At 36.7% G+C, this 22,113-nt stretch overlaps 1 protein-coding gene across 13 annotated transcripts in view; it reads left to right on the top strand.

Moving 5' to 3' along the window:
- XPO4 (exportin 4) overlaps window positions 1-22,113 on the top strand; it is a 125,446-nt gene that overhangs the window by 52,797 nt on the left and 50,536 nt on the right. For 8 of the 13 annotated variants that reach the window (NM_001372061.1, XM_047430537.1, NM_022459.5 and 5 more), the window contains 2 exons: window positions 6,092-6,208; window positions 6,930-7,083. In NM_001372061.1, the coding sequence (NP_001358990.1) occupies window positions 6,092-6,208; window positions 6,930-7,083 (271 nt within the window). The other 5 variants (XM_047430540.1, XM_017020705.2, XM_017020704.3 and 2 more) reach the window with 5 other exon arrangements.

Here is a 22,113-nt window from a genome sequence, read left to right as displayed (position 1 = left end):
CATGCCACTATGCCCGGCTAATTTTTATATTTTTAGTAGAGATGGGGTTTTGCCATGTTGGCCAGGCTGGTTTCGAACTCCTGACCTCAAGTGATCTGCCCACTTCAGCCTCCCAAAGTGCTGGGATTACAGGTGTGAGCCACCACATTCTGCCAATTTGTGTGTATTTTTAAAAAATATAGGTAACCAACACATTAGGCTTTCTTTAAAGGCTTTCAGAAGTATCTTAAAGACTTGGTTCTCTACAGATAGTTTTATGGAAAGATTATATCTAATTTGTGTAAAAAATGATGTATTCTTAGTTAATTTATGCCTGTATGATTATTAAATAATGTTATTTCAAGCTTGTGGGCAGTTATGATGTTTTCCTTCCATAATTATAAAGGTTACGTGGTTATTTCATCTCAGTTTGCAGTAGTGTCAGACCTGCTGTCAGTACTAATTTGGGAGGGATATGGAAACTTGCCTTCCTAGGAAAGTAGCAAAATTTTTTATTTTAAGCTAAAATTTTAATCTGTATTTAAACATATAATTCATATTTGTCTTATTTCCTTTGAAAGCAGTAGGCATACGTTAAATCACTTTAAAGCTGTTTAATTTAGCATTTAAGTCTCCTTTCTTCCTCTTTGCCATACTAGAGAGAAGTGGGTGAGAAATTCACTTGTCTACGGCAGCCCCTGGATGTGATAGCCAAGTTAATCTCTCTTATCATAAGTCTCATTGATGTTTGCATAGAAGAGCAGCTGGAAGTCTGCTTTATGTATGGCAACCTTTCATAAAGTTTATTCTTGGTAATAAAGCTCCTGGGGTAAGAGCCAGGCTATTATAAGAGACAATCCTCTCTCTGAACAAGAGTATTTTATTTTGTCAGCTGGAGTTAGTGTTTGAGTATCTTGGGCTTGTGACAGTAAGCTGGTGAGTAAGGCAAGCTATCTCTGAAGGGCATTTTTTCACTAGCTTGAAATTAATGGCTTTTGCTAGAAATAAATGAGAATGCTGGTCTAAGACTTTCAATGTGAAGATAAGAGTTACTTAAATTGTTAGCCAGTGAATTAACTTGTGAATTTTCAGTACTTCAATGAAAGAAGACAATTAGACTTTTTTTTATAACTTTGACACCTCATTGCATTGTCTTCTACTTGTTTGACATATTAAAATTGTCTTGTAGAAATTTATAAACAACCAAAAAATAGGGAACACATCATTTATTTTCCAACTTCTGTTATGTTAACATAGTGCTGGGCATAGAAGTAAACACTGATTCATTAATCCAAACAGCATTTACTGAACATTTACTATATTGCTTTAGTGATACAGCTTCAGTTATAGCTCTGTTTTTTAAGTGGTGTAACACATTTAGTAATTTTAATTTTGCAGAATGTAGATCATCATCAAGGAATAGAATAAAGCTGAAATAGGTGGTTGTCATTTTCTATGATAATGATAAAAAATACAGCTGCTACTTTACCTTCTTGTAACCTGGTGTAATTACATGGTATTTTTAAGCATTATGCAATTTGAGCCTTAGGACAATTATGCAAATTAGGTATGGCAGAGGGTGGTAGCCCTTACTGTAGATGAGAAAGCTGAGGTCAAGGTACATGAAGGGCTTTGACCACAGTTATTTGAAGAAGGAAATCTTGGACTGTTAGAGCCCAGATTTTCTAACTGATTCAAACAACAGGATTCTTGTATTGGACTCCTGAAAGAGTCCTGCAGAATGTTTTTATTTATCATTTATTTTAGATGTAATTTTAATAAATTTTATTTGGTTTCTAACCTGTGAGCAAATGAAAATGATCCATTTAGAACTACCTGTTAGTGGCAGTCAAATTGCCAGCAGCAGTGAATGATAGACAACAACAAAGGATGATTGAGAAAAGCTATGAAGCAGACATAAATCAACAAGCATTGGGATCTGGCACCACGTTGCCAACGGGTGGAAGGCCCCTTATGTTTTAGTAGCTTCCAAGTAGTCACTTAAGTATAATATCATATAATTGCCATAGAAATAATTCCTTAAGAAAAATTTATAGGACGTTTCATTAAAAATGTTTGCTTGCTGCATTTACAAAATTAACATATTAACTTAATTCTTCATGATCTTAGATAAGTGAAGTATTGTTGTATTAACCTCTTAGAAGTCTTAAGATTTGTATTTTATACTGGGCAAATTCCTGTGTATTTTAGTATGGCAGTCTTTTATCAATTAGTTAGTTAGTCAACTTTGATCCGAATTCACTGACATTAATTACTACAGCTTTTGTTTCCGGCTGTCTTAAGTATCAGAGCCACTGTCTCTGATATGGAAAAATATCTAGCTCTGACTTTGACAAAGGCCAGAGAGGCAGCACTTGAAGATACTGGTCAGTAGAGGGTGAGTTAGGGGGTAGTGCACTCGGAATGCCCATTGAGACCTAACAGTCTGAAGGAGGCAGATAAGAACATTCTTTAAGGGTAAGAAAAGCTGAAGCTGGTGATCTCCTTTAGGCAGATTTGATGCTTTAATTTTTTTTCTTTCCTCTCTCTTTCCTGGGAAGAAGCTGTCCTCTGTTCTCCCTTGGGAGTTTTATTTTTGGCTTGCTTCCCTAGCTATCTTCATTACAACCCACAATGTGAGAGTAACTTCATTTTAAGGGGATTTAATCCATAATTAAATATTGAAAATGAGCAAACATATTTAGAAGTGAGTCCTAGACATTTAGTGATATGTTTAATTCCCCTATGAATAGGGAGAAATACTTTGTTGATATGTGTTGAAGTACTTTGCTCTCTTAATGTATAATCAATGTTTAATTATTCATCATTCCCCAGGAGTCTCTATTCATTTGGCACCTTTGAGCCAGACTAGTGTAGTATGATTAATATTTATGATGGTAATCTCATATTCCTACAGGATTTCCAAATTAAGGAGAGCTTATACTATTTGGTATATTTTAATGATGAAAATATCCTATTGAATTTTAGTTCTTTGGAAGCTGATAATCGTAGGTACAGTTAAAGCCAGAATATTTGATTTCTTGCAATACCTCTAACAATGCTGTACAATAATTTATTTTTATGTATTTCTTAAGTCTTTAAGTGGTATATTTAAATAGAACACATTTGTTTTTAAATTTTTTTCTTTTTATTTCATAGGTATAAAGTGGAAAAGTAGAATGTAAAACTATATTTGGGTTTATATCAATGATATATAAAAATTTATATCTGTGCATCAAAAAATTGGAAAGCTATAAATGTTACAGTAATAACTCCTGGATGGTAGGATTGTAGACAATTTTATTTTCGTTGTGCTTTTCTACGATTTCTAGTTTTTCTAAGATAGAAGTATATTTTTGTAGGATGAAAAAATTATTTAAAAACGAAAGATTCTTACGTGTTCAGGGGGCTAAGTCTATAAGTGCATTTTGTTCTAAATTCTCATCGATTAAGAATGTACTTGTTTTTATGGGTGAATTTGTACTTCATTAGTGTGGAAGTTTGCTGTTTTGGAGGGATATATTCATTGCCGTAACTAAAAAGCAGTTCCATGCCACTAGGGCTCCTTGTTTTGTCTGATGAAGTTTGTAGTTGCAGGAGTAGCTTTAGCAGGGCTTTCACCTGTCGTTGCCCTGCCCCTCTCCTTCACTCATTTGTTTCTCATCTTGACCGTAAACCACATGTTATCTTGGGAAATGTTTGTTTCATGTGAAAAAGTAAAGCTTTTGTGAGTACGTATGGCTGTGATCATTAATTAGAGAGATGTTCCTGAAAACTTGAATATGGTGATAGTTTTAAAATAAGCCATTTTGTGGTGAATGCAGTAAGACACAATCTGTGGAAAGCTGTAAATTACTTGTGAAAAACTAGTATAGATTATTCATTTGTAAGAGTAAGAATTTGTTTAATGAGTGCTTCTAGGTTCTTTCAGCTTGCAGGTTTTTATGTTATGTGTCAATTCTGTTTTTAATAGGTTATCTCATCTGAGATTCAGAAATTAATTTCCTTTTTTAGTAAGACAAGTTTTCTCAAACATTTAGATGTGTTTATAATGTTTTATTGACTAGAGTCTTAGAAAGGATAAGTGAAAAGCTAAGTGTCAATGAAAAATTGTTTTCAGGATCCTAGGATCTTGGGATTCATCATTAGATCATTGTGAATTAAATTTTTTCTCTGAATCTCATTAATTTGATTTAACATCTACTTTCCCCACCAAAGCCTAGCTGTGTTTAAAAATCATGTTTATAGTTGATCCTCATGTTATTTAAATGTATCTGTCTAATGTTAATTGCTGGCACTATAATCATTAATCATTTTAAAAGAAAATTTTTGAAAATTAACAATTTTGTTAACTAAAAAAATGAAGGGATTGTACTTCCTGAATTTTGAGATCGCTTTAAACAGTAAAATGACAGAAATATGTGATCAACTGTTTTTTTCTGTGAGAGGCCTTAGTGCCTGGCTTCTTTGTCTCCAAGTGCCTGGGGCCATACAAAGGCAGTTAAATGGGTTTCTTGAAGATTTTGGGAGGAAGGGACATTTTTATATTAAGTCATGTATATTTTGAAGTAAAATTACAAAATGTGTGTGTTTATGCCAAACCAGTAACATTCAGAGAACTTTTATTGTTGCAGAAGGCATCTTTGATCATACCCCTAGATTCGCTAGAGAATTTGCATTTACTTCCAGGTGTGGAAAAGTCTGAGAAACTTCTTTAACATATGGGGTTTTGTGCCTTTCATAAATATTAGCTATATAGTCACGCTTGTTTTAGTTGAGATTAAGAGGCAAATAGGAATTTAACTTTATGTTTACTCTTTTTTCTTTGAGACTTAGTCTTACTCTGTTGCCCAGGCTGGAGTGTAGTGGCGCGATCTCGGCTCATTGCAGCCTTCGGCTCCCAGGTTCAAGCGTTCTCCTGCCTTGGTGTCCCAAGTAGCTGAGACTACAGGTGCCTGCCATCATGCCTAGCTGATTTTTTTGTATTTTTAGTAGAGACAGGGTTTCACCATGTTGGCCAGGCTGGTCTCGAACTCCTGACCTCAGGTGATTGCCTGCCTCGGCCTCCCAAAGTGTTGGGATTACAGGCATGAGCCACTGTGTCCGGCCTATGTTTACATTTTTTAAAGAAAAATTTCAGACATATACAAAATGGACAGATAGTCTATTAGTCACTCATGGAACCATCAGTCACCTCTCACCTTCAACAGATATTTCCTGCCAGTTTTTAGGAATTTAATATCATTAAGTTATTTGCTAAGATTTGCCAAGATAAGTATCTGTAAGGTCAAGGTACTGACATCAGAAGCATTTCTGAACAGAGATGTTGCAGTTGGTGGGTGGGTATGACAGTGTTCAGCTGTTGGATAAGCTTGCATAAATAGTATCATCTTGACTTTAATCTTTCGGTTGTTCAGAGGTAGTGTGCATATTTCTGTTTAACTCCTGGAAAGTTGCCAAAATAATTTGTATCCTCTTTCCATCCTTTGTACCTTGACTGTTTTAGTCTGGGAATAAAATCAATGAGTTGATATTAGGAGCCTGTTGGATAGAACCAATGAGAAGAAAAATCTTCATTTTTCTATTTAAAAAACTTTTGGGTATTACCTGGCTATAATATTTTGGACACTATAAAATCTGTTTCACTTTTCATCTATTTGGGAATGCATTTTACAAACAGAACGGGGTCAAACATGGGTTGAAATCTCAGCTGGCCTTAGATAAGTACTCCAGGTCACTTCTCTCAAATGTAAAATGAGGATATAGGTTGTTCTGCGAATTAAACAAAATAATACCTTCAACATTTATTATTTTTAAATATCATTTGAATTCCACTATTGAGTAGGAACAGTGTGTCCTGAGTTCAAGTCTTAGATGGATTTGTATAACTGCATTTGAGGAAGTACTATTAACACTGACCAGACCACTTAGAAAGGAGAGCTAATATTTATTTTGTCATATCTGATTTTCTGACTAGTTGTTATAAGATCTAAAGATACAGTGGAAGATCTAAAGTTAGGGAGAAAATGTTCTATTATGTTTGAACAAATGCATTGAAACAAAGCGTTGAAACAGTAATGCCTCACAATTATTTCTTATCAAATAATTACAGCAAACTCTGGCCTGTTCTATTCTGACTGCGCTATTGAGTGAATTTTCAAGTTCAAGTAAAACTAGCAACATTGGATTGAGCATGGAATTCCATGGTAACTGCAAAAGAGTTTTTCAGGTATTGGTAGTTTTGTTCTTGAGTTTTAATTATTGGATCATTCACTTTTTACTCAATCTATTCCTAATGACATGAGAATATTTATTTTATGTAGTTGAATGGTAGCCTGTACTTCAGGATTTGTTTTGTGATTTCAAAGGATATAGTAAAATGATAGGTTTGGTGAATGTAGTTGATGGTTTAAAATTACTTGTTTAATTCTAGTCTTAAAAACAATACTTCTATAAAGATCTTTAGTTTATTATTTATTTCTTATTGTGTTTAGATATAACTAATTCAATTGAAGGGACTCTGCTGGCCTTAAAAATAGGTCTGGAAGAATGCCAGAAGGCCGTGTATTTCAAATGTTATTGCAGATGGTGCGGGCTCTTTGTCTTGTATGTATTGTTTGGCTCTGGAGTAAAGTTATGTGAAGGCATTGGCTTAAATCCTAGGGCTCTGCACTATAGCAACTGACTCCTCTGGCTCCGCAGTAGTTGTCAAAGACTCTCTTCTCTATGGAAGTAGCATTTATATTCAAGTAAAAGTATTCCATCTGGCGTCACTTGAAAGCATACTGCGATGTAAATTACAAGTAGAGGCCTAAAAATGGAACACGTTCTTAAGGAAATGGTGTTTTCCATTGGAAATTTTAAGGTGTTTGTTTTGTTTCATGATTCTAAAAGGGGATACATTTTGAATAAATTTTTCATATAAAATATTTGTGATTTATTGACTATAGGAAGAAGACCTTCGTCAGATCTTCATGTTAACTGTTGAAGTTCTGCAGGAGTTCAGCAGGCGGGAAAACCTCAATGCTCAGATGTCTTCAGTATTTCAGCGTTACCTTGCACTCGCCAATCAAGTCTTGAGCTGGAACTTTCTTCCTCCAAATTATATCCTTTTAACAAATGAATAGTTTATCTGTGGTAATTTTCATAGGTGACTTAATTACAGCTCGGAGTCTTTCACCTCTGCAGCTTTCATAAAACATATTGAAAGAAAATAAGATTTTTTTTAAGAAATAGAATTTAATTTCTTTATAATGCCAAAAGACAGTGGATACTAGGATAATACTAGAAGATTTAAAAGTATTTACTCCTTTGTAGAAGAAGTTTGAATACATAGAAACGTGGTGGATGACGGAGCTGTTGCTAATTCAGGATTAGCATTATTCTTTGGGAAGGAAAAGGAAACAGGTAGAAATTACCTTTTAAGAAACCGAATCATTTTTTCCTTGGACAAGTAATTATGTTTGATTTTTTTGACTGACTTAAAGCTAGTTTGGAGTGCTCTAATTTAATCTTTATGGATGGTGATGTTGTTCAAGTATAGGTAATAAGTTAGTAATATGTTTACTCTTCAAGGGCCTTTACCAGTATAAAAAAATGAGAATTTTGTTTTTAGGAAATTATTCAAAAGTTTAAGTGGGTTGTATTATCAATGCATATATCTGCTTTTTAAATTAGTTACTTAAAGTAGAGAAATTTGTATTTCATAAACTTTAAGGAACTGCTGTCTCATTTACTATGCTGGGACATCTGCTGCCCGTTGATAGTAATATACAGTGACTACCCATTTGTTGTGTAAAGTCCAATAGATCTGGATTCAAGGCTCTGCTCATCTTAGGCAAATCACCTGAACCTCTCTGAGTCTCAGCTTTTCCAAATGTAAAATGGGGGTATGGATTGTTGTGTGAATTAAATGAAACAATACATTTAAAACACTCAGGAGTTAGTTACTATTTATTGAGCTCTTAATAGCCTCCGTGAATTAAATAGTTCATTATATAACTAACTGTCTTTTATACTCTTCTTTGTTGAACTAATACGCCTCTGTGTGGTATAGGAAATTTAATGCGACCTGTTCTAGATGTTTTTAATCTGAGAGTCTGTTCAGGAGAAAAAGACTGATGATAAGCAGACAGGAAATAGATGTGAAATCAGATCAGAGATCTAGTATGGGACTCATTTTTATTGTAACAAGAGCCAAGAGGAGCTACATTTACATATACAGAAACTCGCTAATTATTTGTGGCTGGTAAAATTATGACATTTAAAGGAGTGTGGTGGGGTATAACTCCTTCTTCCATTTAAACTTAGTCTATTCACGTAGTAGAATATTAACTGTGAAGGGCTCTGTCAGGTAAAGTGAGTCTGACTCGTGAGCTCTCCAGGTTTCTTTCCCAAAAGCAGTCACTGAGCTGCTGCATTATGGGGCAAAGCTTACAGTAAGGTCAGTCACTGTTTCCTTTTATTCTTATTCTGTAATCATCTTTCTCCCAATAACCAACTTTTTATCTTTAATATATTAACTTAATTCTTTTTGGTTGTCAAGAGGTGGCTACTTGCTTAGGTTTGCTTTTTAAAAAATTTCCCCTTTCAGTGTTTCAATATTTTTGTTCTAGGTTTTTTGTTTGTTTGTTTTTTTAAATAAAGTTGGTAAGGCAGGCTTTATTCAGGGGAGCCAATGGTGATAGATGTGGGGACCACCACAACAGGATCTTGCAGTTGGGGAGAGAGATTGGATTCAGCTTCTTGCTCCAGTGTTTTCAGTGGGGAAAGAAAAGATATTGAAAAACCTTGAGACATATTTTAAAATTAGCAGTCCATATGGAGCTATCAAAATATTAATTATATATGTAGGGAAAAATCAACAAAAGTTACACTGCATATATTTTAAAGTGTCTGTTTTAAGGGAAAATACAGTTGGTAGAGAGTGACTATTTTATAAAAAGAAATAGTTCTCTGGGAGTTTGGAAACAAAGCTTGTCTAAAAGATACACACACATAAAATATTTTATAAAGTACTTAGATAAAGCTTTGGAAAATCTGTCATCTGAAAATGATAAGCAATACTGCAGTGTTGCCAAAGGAAATAATTCCTTGTTTAAAGAAAGTATATCTTGGTTTTTGACTTGAGGATATTTTGCTTCATGGCTTATGAGTGAGTTCTTGTGTGACCTTTTCATATAGTGCCATTTGTTGGCTGACTGCACTACAGCTAAGTATTCTTTGAGTGGATTAGCTTTAAGTGTGGGAGAAAGAACTTGGCAGTGAGATTAAACTAAGCTACAGATTTAGCACTCATTAGGGAAATCAATTTCAAGGAACTCAATTCTGACTAATTTCTAATTTTGGAAATTACCTGGAGATCTACCATTCAATCAGTAAGGAAAAGAATGGAATAATTATGCAGCCTTGTACCATGGAGAGGGTCTAAATAATCAAATTTAACTTAGTTTAAAAGTGTTGAATTGATGCCTTTTAAAAGATGGTTTATCTGCTGGGTGCGGTGGCTCACTCTTGTAATCCCAGAACTTTGGGAGGTTGACATGGGAGGATTGCTTGAGTCTAGGAGTTCGAGACCAGCATGGGCAGCATAGCACAACCCTATCTCTACAAAAAAATACAAATATTAGCTAGGTGTGTGGTGTGTGCCTGTAGTCCCAGCTGTTCGGGAGGCTGAGGTAGGAGGATTGCTTGAGCCTGGAAGGTTGAAGCTACAGTGAGCCATGATCATGCCACTGCACTCACCCTGGGCGACAGAAGAGACCCTGTCTCAAAATAAAAATAAAATAAAATAAAATAAAAGGTGATTTGTCTCTTAGGATAGACAAATAATAAATCATGGAAAATTTGTGTATTTAGTGTTAAATATTTTGATAATTTAGAATGGTATGTTAAATGAGGCTGTGTTAAATTATCAGTAACAATCCCCCATTTATTAATTTTTTCTAATCTGCTTTCTTTTTTGTATCTATATTTTATATTGAGATAATTTTATTTTTATTTATTTATTTATTTTTGAGAAAGAATCTTGCTCTGTTGCCTAGGCTGGAGTGCAGTGACACTATCTTGGTTCACTGCAACCTCTGCCTCCTGGGTTCAAGCGATTCTCATGCCTCAGCCATCCAAGTAGCTGGGATTATAGGTGTGCACCACCACACCCAGCTTATTTTTATATTTTTAGTAGAGACAGGTTTTATCATGTTGTCCAGGCTGGTCTTGAACTCCTGACCTCAGGTTGATCCACCCACCTTGGCCTGCCAAAGTGTTGGGATTACAGGCATGAGCCACCATACCTGGCCCTGACTAATTTTTTTATTTTAATTTTTGTGGAGATGGAGTCTTGCTGTGTTGGCTAGGCTGGCCTCGAACTCCTGGCTTCAAGTGATTCTCCTCCTTCAGCCTCCCAAAGTGCTGGCATTACAGGCATGAGCCACCATGCCCAGTCTCAATAATAGTTTTATTGAGATGTAATTCACACACTATACTATATACCCATTTAGAATGTATAATTCAGTGTTTTTTAATATATTCATAGAGTTGTACAGCAATAATTGTCAGTAGTTTTAGAACATTTTCATCATCCCAAACACAAGCCCTGTGTCAATTAGCAGTTAGTCTCCATTTCCACCTTCCCCAGTCCGTAGCAACCACTTTCTGTCTATGCATTTACCTATTCTAGACATAGCGTATAAATGGAATCATATAATATGTGGTCCTTTGTGACTGGCTTCTTTTTGAGACGGAGTTTCACTCTGTTTCCCAAGGTGGAGTGCCGTGGCGCGATCTCGGCTCACTGCAACCTCTGCCTTCTGGGTGCAGGCGATTCTCCTGCCTCAGCCTCCTGAGTAGCTGGGACTATAGGCACACACCACTACGCCCTGCTAGTTTTGTATTTTTTAGTAGAGATGGAGTTTCGCCATGTTGCCCAGGCTGGTCTCGAATTCCTGTCCTCAAGTGATCTGCCTGCCTCGACCTCCCAAAGTGCTGGGATTACAGGTGTCATCCACTGCACCCATCCTTGCTTCTTTCACTTAGCATAATGTTTTCAAGATTCATCCATTTTGTAGCATGCAGCATCCATCAGTTCTTCATTCCTTTTCATTGCCATAATATTGTATGGATATACCACTTTTTTAATCCATTTATCAGTTGATGGACAGTTGGGTTGTTTCCACTTTTTGATTATTATTAACAATGCTGCTGTGAGCATTCATTTATAATTTTTGTGTGGGCTTAGGGTTTCATTTCTCTTTGGGAGGCCGAGGTGGGAAGATTGCTTGAGGCCAGGAGTTTGAAGTTGCAGTGATCTATCATCACACCACTGCACTCCAGCCTGGGCAACAGAACAAGACCAAAATGTAATTTCTTTCTTTTTTTTTTTTTTTTTTTTGAGATGGAGTCTTGCTGTGTTGCCCACGCTGGAGTGCAGTGGCATGATCTCGGCTCACTACAATCTCCACCTCCCAGGTTCACGCCATTCTCCTGCCTCAGCCTCCTGAGTAGCTGGGACCACAGGTGCCCGCCACCACGCCTGGCTAATTTTTTTGTATTTTTAGTAGAAACAGGGTTTCACCCTGTTAGCCAGGATGGTCTTGATCTCCTGACCTCGTGATCCACCCATCTCAGCCTCCCAAAGTGCTGGGATTACAGGCGTGAGCCACTGCGCCCAGCCCCAAAATGTAATTTCTTATAGAAAGTACTGTATTAATTGTGACTGTAAAATATTGGGAAAACCAGCTGAAGCTGACTGAGCAGTGGCTGTAGGATGTGCATAGAGAGATACTGACAAAATAATGCAGAGTAAATATTTAGATATTAATATTTAAGGGCATTAATGCTATCATAGTTAATAGCTTGTATTACAGTGTTCTTAGGTCAAGATTTACGCTCATGCAAAGTTTCATTAATGAAATCATAACTTGGCTGGGCGCAGTGGCTCACGCTTTTAATCCCAGTACTTTGGGAGGCCAAGGCCGGTGGATGGCTTGAGCTCAGGAGTTTGAGACTAGCCTGGGCAACATGGCAAAACCTCATGATGTGGTTTGACTCTGTGTCCCCACCCAAATCTCATCTTGAATTGTACTCCCATAATTCCCATGTGTTGTGGGAGGGACCCCGTGGGAGATAAAGTCATGGGGGCAGTTTCCTCCATACTGTTCTCGTGGTAGTGAATAAGTCTCACAAGATCTGATGGTTTTATCAGGGGTTTCCACTTTTGCATCTTCCTCATTCTCTCTTTGCCTGCTGCCATCCATGTAAGACGGGACTTGCTCTTCCTTGCCTTCTGCCATGATTGTTCCGTGTGTCCCCAGCCACGTGGAACTGTAAGTCCAATTAAATCTCTTTCTTTTGTAAATTGCTCAATCTCGGGTATGTGTTTATCAACAGCCTGAGAATGGACCAATACACCCCATCTCTTACAAAAAATTAGCCAGGCATGGTGGCACACACCTGTAGACCCAATTATTTGGGAGGCTGAGGCAGGAGAAGTGCTTGAACCCGGCGGTCAGAGGTGGCAGTGAGCTGAGATTACGCCATTGCACTCTACCTCTAGCCTGAGGGATAGAGTGAGACTCTGTCTCTAAAAAAGAAAAAAAAAGGAGAAGAAAGAAAACAAATCATAACTCTTTAACATTGATTCTCAACTAGGAACAATTTTGTATACTTGGGACATTTGGTGGTGTCTTGAGACAATTTGGATTGTCACAACTCGGGAAATGCTACTGCCATCTATTGGGTTGAGGCTACGGATGCTGCTAAACATCCTAAACATCCTACAAAGCACGGGACAGCCCCACACAAGCAATTATTGGGCCCAAAGTATCAATAGTCATCCACACAAAAACTTGTACATGAATGTTCAGAGCAGTACTATATGAATAGGCTATTCATAATACTATATGAGTAGAAACAACCCAAATGTCCATCAGCTGATGAATGGATAAATAAAATGTGGTATACCCATATAATGGGAATATTACCTGTCATAAAAAGACATGAATTACTGATACATGCTACAACATGTGTAAACTTTGAAAACATACTGAGTGAAAAAAGCCATTCACAAAAGACCACAAATTATATGATAACATATTTATGAAATGTCCAGGATGGGCAAATCTATAGAGACAGAAAGGTTAGTGGTTACCTAGAACTGGAGTGATTGGAACAAAGTAGGAGGTGACTGCTAAAGCATATGGGGTCTTTCTGGTACCATGGAAATGTTCTCAGATTAGATCATGGTCGTGGTTGCACACATCTGTGAATATGCTAAAACCATTGAGCTGTACACTCAGTGGGTAAATTGCGTAGTGTGTGAATTATGTCTTAATGAAGCCTTTAAAAATACCCATCATGTCACGGTGTAGAAACCCACTTCACACAGGTCAACTGCACCATTAGTAGAATTATAGAGGGAGATTAGGGGTGGAGATAAAGTTGTGGGAGAGTGGGGCCATTGAAGTTAAGGAAATAGGAGAGGTGGTCCAAGAAGGAGCAGAGGATCCATGTCAGGACCTTTAGGTGCATCAGTAGTGAAAAAGCAGGAAGAAGCAAAAGAAAATAAGAAAGCCAATTAAGACAAGTGGATGGGAGAACAAGGCAAGGAGTGTTTGGAAAGCAAAGATAGATGATGTTTCAAGGAATCAGGTAGTCAACATCGTCTGTTACCGATAGGTAAGATGTAGATTGTTTTTGATCTACACCGAATATCAGTTAGAACATAGTTGGTCATATGGAAGTCTGTTTATGTGAATGACAGGGGCAAAAGCCGTATCTCAGTGATCAGGTAGTAATTAGTAATTGATGAAGTATAGAGTGAAGTACAATTGACCCTTGAACAATGTGAGGGTTAGAGACACCAACCCCCATGCGGTCAAAAATTCCAGTATAACTTTTTACTCCCCAGAACGTTTTACTAATAGCTTACTGTTGCCTGGAAGACTTACTGATAACATAAACGGTCAGTTGGTACTTATTTTATGTTTTATATGTACTATAATATATTCTTAAAGTAAGTTAGAGAAAAGAAAATGTTGTTAAGACAATTATAAGGAAGATAAATGATATTTAGTGTTCATTAAGTATAAGTGGATCAATCATAAATGTCTTCATCTTCGTCTTCTAGTTGAGTAGGCTCAGGAGGAGGAGGAAGAGGAGGGGTTGGTCTTGCTGTCTCAGTGATAGTAGAGACAGAAGTGGAGGAGGTGAAGGGGAGGTAAGGAAAGGAAGGCACACTTGGTGTAACTTCTAGTGAAAGTACAAGTGGACCTGTGCAGTTCAAACCTGTGTTATTCAAGGGTCAACTGAACTATATAGATATTTCGAAGAGCATCAACTGACAGCTCAAGGGAATGGGGGTTTGTGCCAAGGAAATGTTGTTTTATGCTTTAAGCTTAGATGAACCTGTTTATTGCTTGAGGGGAGAAGTCAGGATTTCAGAAAGAAAATGTGATATTGTGGTGTTAGGCCAATGACATAGATGTTGAGATAGCCCAGGGCGTGGTTGAGGTAGGCAGCCCTGTGGTAGTGTGAACTGCCTGCCTTGATGATCCATACTTCTTAGCTATTAAGTGCTGATTTGACCAGCTTTGTCTAGGTTTCTTTCAAAATGGAGGAACACAGTGGTAGAAGTCAGCATGAGGGAATTTTATTTTATCATTATTTTTTTAAACTGATAGAATTGCAAGGAGAGTGATGGAATTTTAAAGCACATATATGTAAAGCCCTTGTGAAGTATTTTCTTCTGTCCTCTCTTTTTTTGAATAATCAGTATTTCCTCCAACTATTGTCTATTTGTACCTGGCATTGTACCCTTTAAAAAGAAAGTAGAGGCAGCACATGGTGGCTAACACCTGAATCTCAGCACTTTGGGAGGCCAAGGCAGGAGTATGGCTTGAGCTTAGGAGTTCAAAGTTACCTTGAACTATGATTGCACCACTGCACCCCAGCCTGGGCAACAGAGGAAGACCTTGTCTCTTAAAACAGAAACAAACAAAAAACTAAGTTAAGTTTTCTGATTTTTAAAAATTATTATTTATAGAGATAGGGTCTTGCTCTGTCACCCAGGCTAAGGTATAGTGGCATGATCATGGCTCACTGCAGCCTTGACCTCTGAGTTCAAGTGGTCCTCCTGCCTCAGCCTCCCAAGTAGCTAGAACCACAGGTACACATCACCACACCTGGCTAATTTTTAAATTTTTTTGTAGGGCAGGATCCCACTATGTTGCCCAGGCTGTCCTCAAACTCTCCTGGGCTCAAGTGATCCTCCCGCTTTGGCATCCAAAAGTGCTGGGATTACAGGCATGAGCCACTGGGCTTGGCCTGGATTTATTTATTAAAGGTTTTTTTTTTTTATTTCTTTCAACACTGTTTTATAGTTTCCAGAGCAAAAGATTATTAAATTTATTCTAAGTACATTTTTTTTTTGAGACTGGGTCTCGCCCTGTTGCCCAGGCTGGAGTGCAGGGGTGTAATCATGGCTCTTGGCAGCCTCGACTTCTTGGGCTCAAGCTATCCTCTCAACTTCAGCCTCTTGAGTAACTGGGACTATAGGCACGCATCATGATGCCTGGCTGATTTTTGTAGGGGTTGAGTTTCGCTGTGTTGTCCAGGCTTGTGAGTATTTTTTTATTATTCAATTGTAAATTGTTTTTTAAATTTCATTTTCACACTATATAGAGAAAAATACAAATGATTTTTGTATGTTGATCTTGTATCCTGTAATCTTGCTGAACTTGCTTATTAATGCTAATGAATTATATACATAATTGTATTATCTGCAAACCATTATATTTGTTAAGGATTATTATATGTAGCTTTTCTATGTGCAGCAGGTGATTTATGAAAGTATCCACCTACCCAGACCCAGTGGTGCAAAGTCCACAGTTTCTGTGATTTGGTAGATGTTAAAAATCACTCTGTGGCCCAGAGAGCGAATTCCTCTGCACTTTGTAGCCCCATGTTACTCTGAGACTCTGGAGACAAAATTCACTTGCTTCTCATTCTGTTTTAGATCACTGTTGTGCAAAGAAAGTGTCCTGGTCCTGTGATCCTCCATCATACCATCATCCCCATTTGATAGTGGGCGCTGGGGTCCGGGGCGGTCTCATCACCACCTCCCTCTCATAGCTCTTCTGGTAGAGCTGCACTCACAGGCCAGCTTTCCTTCTACCTTGTTCCTTGCACACACTGCTTCTCTGCCTGGGTCCTCTCTCTTTGCCTGATCACCTAATTGTACTTCAGCCTAGACCAGGTTGGCTTTCTTTTGCTATTTTCTCCCTATGCATGTTGTATATGATTTTTTCCCCATTTGGCTCCCTTCTCAGCTGTAATTTTTCATTCCTTAGATTATTTAAGTACGGTTAGCCCTCCAGGTTTGTGGGTTCCACATCCTTGGATTCAACTGAGGATCAAAAATATTATAACTAAAAAATAACAATACAACAATTAAAAAAATACAAATTTTAAAAACAGTGCAACAATGTACATAGCACTTACATGGTATTGGGTATTATAATTAATCTAGAGGTGATTTAAAGTATATGGGATGTTTATAAGTTACATGCAAATATGATGCCATTTTATATCAGAGACTCTGGATTTATATCAGAGCATCTGTGGATTTTGGTAACCATGGGAGGTCCTGGAACCAGTCCCCCTCCGGATATTGAGGGACAACAGTAGTGTCTGTTTACCTACTGCGCGAAGCTCCGTGAAAGCATGGGCCATGCTTTTGCTCACTGCATTGTTGAGCCCTAGCACAGATGCTCAGCAAATATTTATTATTATATATTTATTATTTAATTATTGAAAGAAGCCCGTTCAGAAGTATTAGCTCAGTTTTCGGATGTTTGTTCACTATAAATATAGTTCGGCTAGTAGTTCACCTGGTGTTCATAAATGCTTAAGGGTTTTGGCAATGCTAATCATAAATGACAATATCATTTTGTAACAAGAATGTTTGGCAGGTATGTGTGGTATGTTGGCTTCAGTGATACTTCTTTTTTTAGTTTGGTTACACTGCCTTTTATTGGTATTCTATTTTTGTGGATCTGATTTGGTTTTGGTAAACTTTTTTTTTTTAACTTAATCTCTTGGAGAAAGCTAACTGGATTATAGAGTAAGTAATGGGATACAGAAGCTTTCACCTAAATTGGATTTCCAGTAAAGCCAACCTTTACTATTTGGAGGCAAGGCTTGGGAAAACATTCAGGTAAGGTCACTCATGTATTTCAAAGGATTTGTGGTTGCTTGGACTGTGTTGTCTATAAGACTGGGGTTGTTGGTTCTGTGCTGTGCCAGGAGAAGTAGCAGTTTTTGTTGTTAGAAAATTTAATAATGAAAGGGATTAAATATTTAAGAAAGAAAATGGTCTTGCTGTAGCTCCTGAAACTTTGTTTTACTGATGAAGTAGGGTAAAAAATAGTATGGAAAGATGAAGGGAGTAAAGCATTTATTACTTATGTGAAATGCCCATTGTTGCTACAAGATCTTTCTATATTGTAAAGTAATTATAAGAATAGGCAAAGGAAATTTTCAGATTGTCCATATTTGCTTGAAGATAATGTGTAGCTACTGTATGCCTTATTTAATTATTTTTTTGAGTGTCATTCACAATCACAAAACGATACCCTTACTGAAAGTGTTAGTGGATAAACTTAATTGCATAATTACGGACCTGTGTATTTCCAGAGATGATGTTTTCCCCACTACATGTTAAGATGTACGTATTTAATGACAATGCTGTTTGTTGTATGAGAACTTGAGACAGAAGATTTAGTAGGATTATCCAGTGACAGTCAGTACAGGGTGCGATTAAGCTGTCCTTCTGGCTCTTGGCCTGGTATATGTTTGTCTCTGGCCATGCAGTTACAGAATAGGGCAGGTGGCATGTTTATATATGCCTTTGATTTCACAGAAGTTGGTGAGCTTTCCTAAGTGGAGAATTTTAGAGCTAGATAGGATTGTTGTGGGAGAGGGGGCAGGGAATGGAGAGTTGATTCTTCACTCTTCTGTGGTGCAGTTGAATTTACATGTAGCTGGAACTGATTTTCCAAGGGATTATGATGGCAATGAGCTTAGAAGATTGGTTGGGTTTTAGCACTTCAGAATTGGATCCCTTGCCGGAACCCTTGCTAAGAGGGAGTGGACTTGTATTTGGTACAGAGACCAAAAAAAAAAAAAAAAAAAAAAAATCACTGTACTAAATGTCCTGATTCTTTAATTTGGTGAGAACATGGATGGGAAGGTAAAGTAAGATTAGATGTGTATGATAGATTTTTTTTAAGATAAAGGGTTAGCAAAAGACTGAAAGCAGCTCTGTTTGGCTTTCTTATTGATGGAATTGTGTTTTGTTTGGTTACAAATGAATTATTCTGATAAAAATATAAATTGCATGCATTCAGTATTTATTTTAGAAAAATATATAAAGCCATAGCCCAAGAAAATTCTTGAATTACACTCTTATTTGAACTTCGGTGAAGTAATAGCTATTTAGTTCCAATCTTTTGTGACTTGTGTGTCTCATAAAATTTGACTAGCATGTAATAAAAGACAGTTTAGTAAATAATCAGTTCATTGTCAAACTGTTCTTTCGTGGTGACATATTTGTTGTAAAAGATAAAACAATGTAATGTGCAGATATTATAAAATGCTAAAGTGGTGACTATAAACCAAACTTTTGAAAGTTTTAAAAGGAAACTATTGTTTTATTAAAATTATTTTTAAATGAACATCTTGCTTTATTTAACCTTGAAATTATTTTTAAAATATTGCTTTAAGAATAGTAGTGCTAGATTTCTGAATTCTGGTGGTACTGGTTCTGTTTGTTTTTTAAGTTAAGAATTTAAGAATTATCTGGGGTAGAAATGGTATTTTTTTTGATTTCTTATAAGAATTATTAAGAATTATCTGGGGTTGAAATGGTTTTTTTTATTTCTTATACATACAGATAGAAATAGTCATTTGAGAATACCTGATTAAAAATGAATTACCTTAATTCTTTATATTATTTTGAATGTAAAGATATGGTCCAGATTTGTGTATCATTATTCTGCCCACATTGTGATATGCTCTTCACTAGTTTTGTTTTTCAAATTGAAAAGTAATGCATGTACGTGAATAATAACAATATTTTAGGTAATATTAAACATTATACAATGCATAGTAAGCCTTTCTCCCATATAAAAGCCAGCATAGTCTGTTATTCGGGGCAGCAACTTCAGCAGTTTCATGGTACAGTCTGATAACTAAAACATATTTCTTGTCAAAATAACATTGTCTTTAAACATTTGTTCTGTATAAACATTATGATGCTGTTCCATATAAACGTTTATTATACTGTTCTTTTTGTTTCATGTTTTTTATTTAAATGCTTTTGGGAATAATTAATTTTTTTTAGTAGAGTGGGATATGATTTGTAGTTACAGGATTGTAATTGTGTCCTATGAAAAGTATAATATAGTACATGTGCATTTTTATTATGGTATATAATAGTGGTATTATTAGTGGTATAACCAGGCTGGCTGATAGAAGGTAGTGAAGTCTGCAGTGTTGTAGATTAGTTTTTCAGTGGAAGGTAAGTGTAGCCTCTTTGCATGGAGCATTACAAGTGTGCATTCTTGTTAGAAGGCAAACATCATGCCAGAGATAAAAATCCTTTCCAGGTTTGGAATTGGAAAACAAAAGTAACATGGAGTTTTGTAATAATTATGGGGAAAGGTATTTTCTGATAGATATTACATACTAACTCATAAATCTCCCATGCTCGTGGCCACGTGTAAGGAATTATAATCTTAAAACTATTCTGGTTACCAACACTTGAAGGAAATTGGCCATGGAATTGGGCATCAGGGACAGTGTGCTGAAAAACAGACCATGATTAGGAGAGGCTAAACCAAGATTTTAAAAAATCAGATTTCAGGGTTATTTTGAATCTGATGTTACATGAGCCATTGCAATGAATTCCATTTTATATCTGGGAAAAACCCTTTTTAAATAAAACTCATATCCATTTTCCCTTAATGTAAATAATTGATATCCAGAAGTATTAATAGAGTATATGCTTTTTATAATTTATAAAAAGATAGAGGAGAGAATTATATGAGAATTTTGGTTTAGGTTTAATAGTTTCCTTTTGTAAGATTTCTTCCTGTATTTTCTTACTGATACTTTTGTAAGATTTATTGAATCTTTAGCTTATCATCTCCCTCTTACCAAAACACACTGTTGCCCCCCTTGCTGTATTATACCTGGAGGGCATAATTAGAATGTGAGAGACTCTCCTCATTTCCTTGGAATAGAGTTTTTCATATATCCAGAAGTAGCAAAATTTATAAATATGATTCCCTTTGCTTCTGCCACCTGTATTCTTCCTCTGTACTTGAACTGTCTGCAGCTCTTGAAGGGAGGTTTGGGCTTTCATTCTCTTGCAGTTATAGCACCTGAAGTATTTGCCTTCTTACTCTGAGGGATCACACATCTGCTAGCTACTAAAATGGTAAATGGTCAGCTTTGGGGCCAACCATTTTATTATGGTTATGTGAACCCATTTATTTGTCTCATATCCTATATAATTTAAAAATAAAATCATGACACCTTTTATAAGCATACGAAATATTACAAAATCATTATTTTCCTAGTTATATTTCATTTGTTAGATTTGGCATATTGAAAATAAAGAGAAATAAAACTGGAAAACAGTAAGTGAAATACATTTAAATTTTTATGAAGTATGAAGAATTGGCCAGGTGTGCTGGCTCATGCCTATAATCCTTGCACTTTGGGAGGCTGAGCCAGGAGGATCACTTGAGCTCAGGAGTTCAAGACTTCCCTGGGCAACATAGTGAGACCCTGTCTCATTAAAAACAAACAAACAAACAAAAAGTACACACACACACAAAACACAAAGAATTGATTGCCTTACTCAGAACATTTATTTCATATACTATAGCCTTTGGCATCCCGTTATTGTGGAAAATTTCAAAGATACACAATAGTGGAGAGAATACCCAGCTTTAAACAGCCAGTCTTGTTTCATCTGTGCTCTGCCATCCCCAGAATATTTTGAAGCAAATCCTAGGTGTCAGATAAATCAGTATATTGTAGTATTGGGTGAAGAACACAACATTGACCTTAGACCATGATCGGTGCCTCTTAAGAAAATGAACTCACTCTATATTGTTAGCTCTTAGGGTTCACGGGCTGATTTTTTCCCCCTTTTTAAATTCGGGCTTCTTTCTTTTGGCTTTTTTGGCCTTCACCTCTTTCCCTGTACCTCCACAAGGGGGCAGATAAAGGAAGAGAGAAGGGAAGTTTAAATGAACCAGATTTGAGTTTCACTTTTGTTAATCAGTCGAATAGAGTTGCAGAAGATTTTGGGGGTGACTTTTCAGAAACAAGCAGTGATTTTTCTCCTTGAAACAACTCATAGTGCCCCTCCTTGCTCTTCAGAGACAGAATAATATTAGCTATTTTAAAAGGGGTTAAGCAATTATCTTAAAAAAAAGTTTCCAGAGCATTATTACAGCCTTTAATTTTCCCTGTGAATAATAATTTTTCTGTAAAAATAACGATTTAGACTTTACTCAAAATATAGTATTTGAATTTCTATCTACTTTTTTCAGACGATAGCTCTGGGTGATTATCATTAAGATTTCTCATTGAGTGATGTGAATGTTGCATAGTCGAAGTATTTTAGCTGGGCAATTGATTACCAATGGAAGGGGCATAACCACTGTTTTTTGTTTGTTTGTTTGTTTTGAGACAGAGCCTCTCCCTGCCACCCAGGCTGGAGTGCAATGGTGTGATCTCGGCTCACTGCAACCTCTGCGGGAGAGTGTTTTCAAGCGACTCTCCCGCCTCAGCCTCCCAAATAGCTGGGATTACAGGTGCCTGCCACCATGCCCAGCTAATTTTTGTATTTTTAGTAGAGATGGGTTTCACCATGTTGGCCAGGCTGGTCTCGAACTCCTGACCTCAGGTGATCCGCCTGCCTTGGCCTCCCAAAATGTGGAGATTACAGGCGTGAGCCACCGTGACTGGCCGAGTTTTCTCATTTCTTCAAAGCCTCAGTTACTGTGGCAGTATCAATGAATCGTATTCATAAAAACCTACAAATATATGATGGTTACTTTG

Source organism: Homo sapiens, chromosome 13, assembly GCF_000001405.40.
Source record: "Homo sapiens chromosome 13, GRCh38.p14 Primary Assembly".
NCBI classification, from domain to species: Eukaryota; Metazoa; Chordata; class Mammalia; order Primates; family Hominidae; genus Homo; species Homo sapiens.
This window is presented reverse-complemented; position numbering and strand designations above follow the sequence as displayed.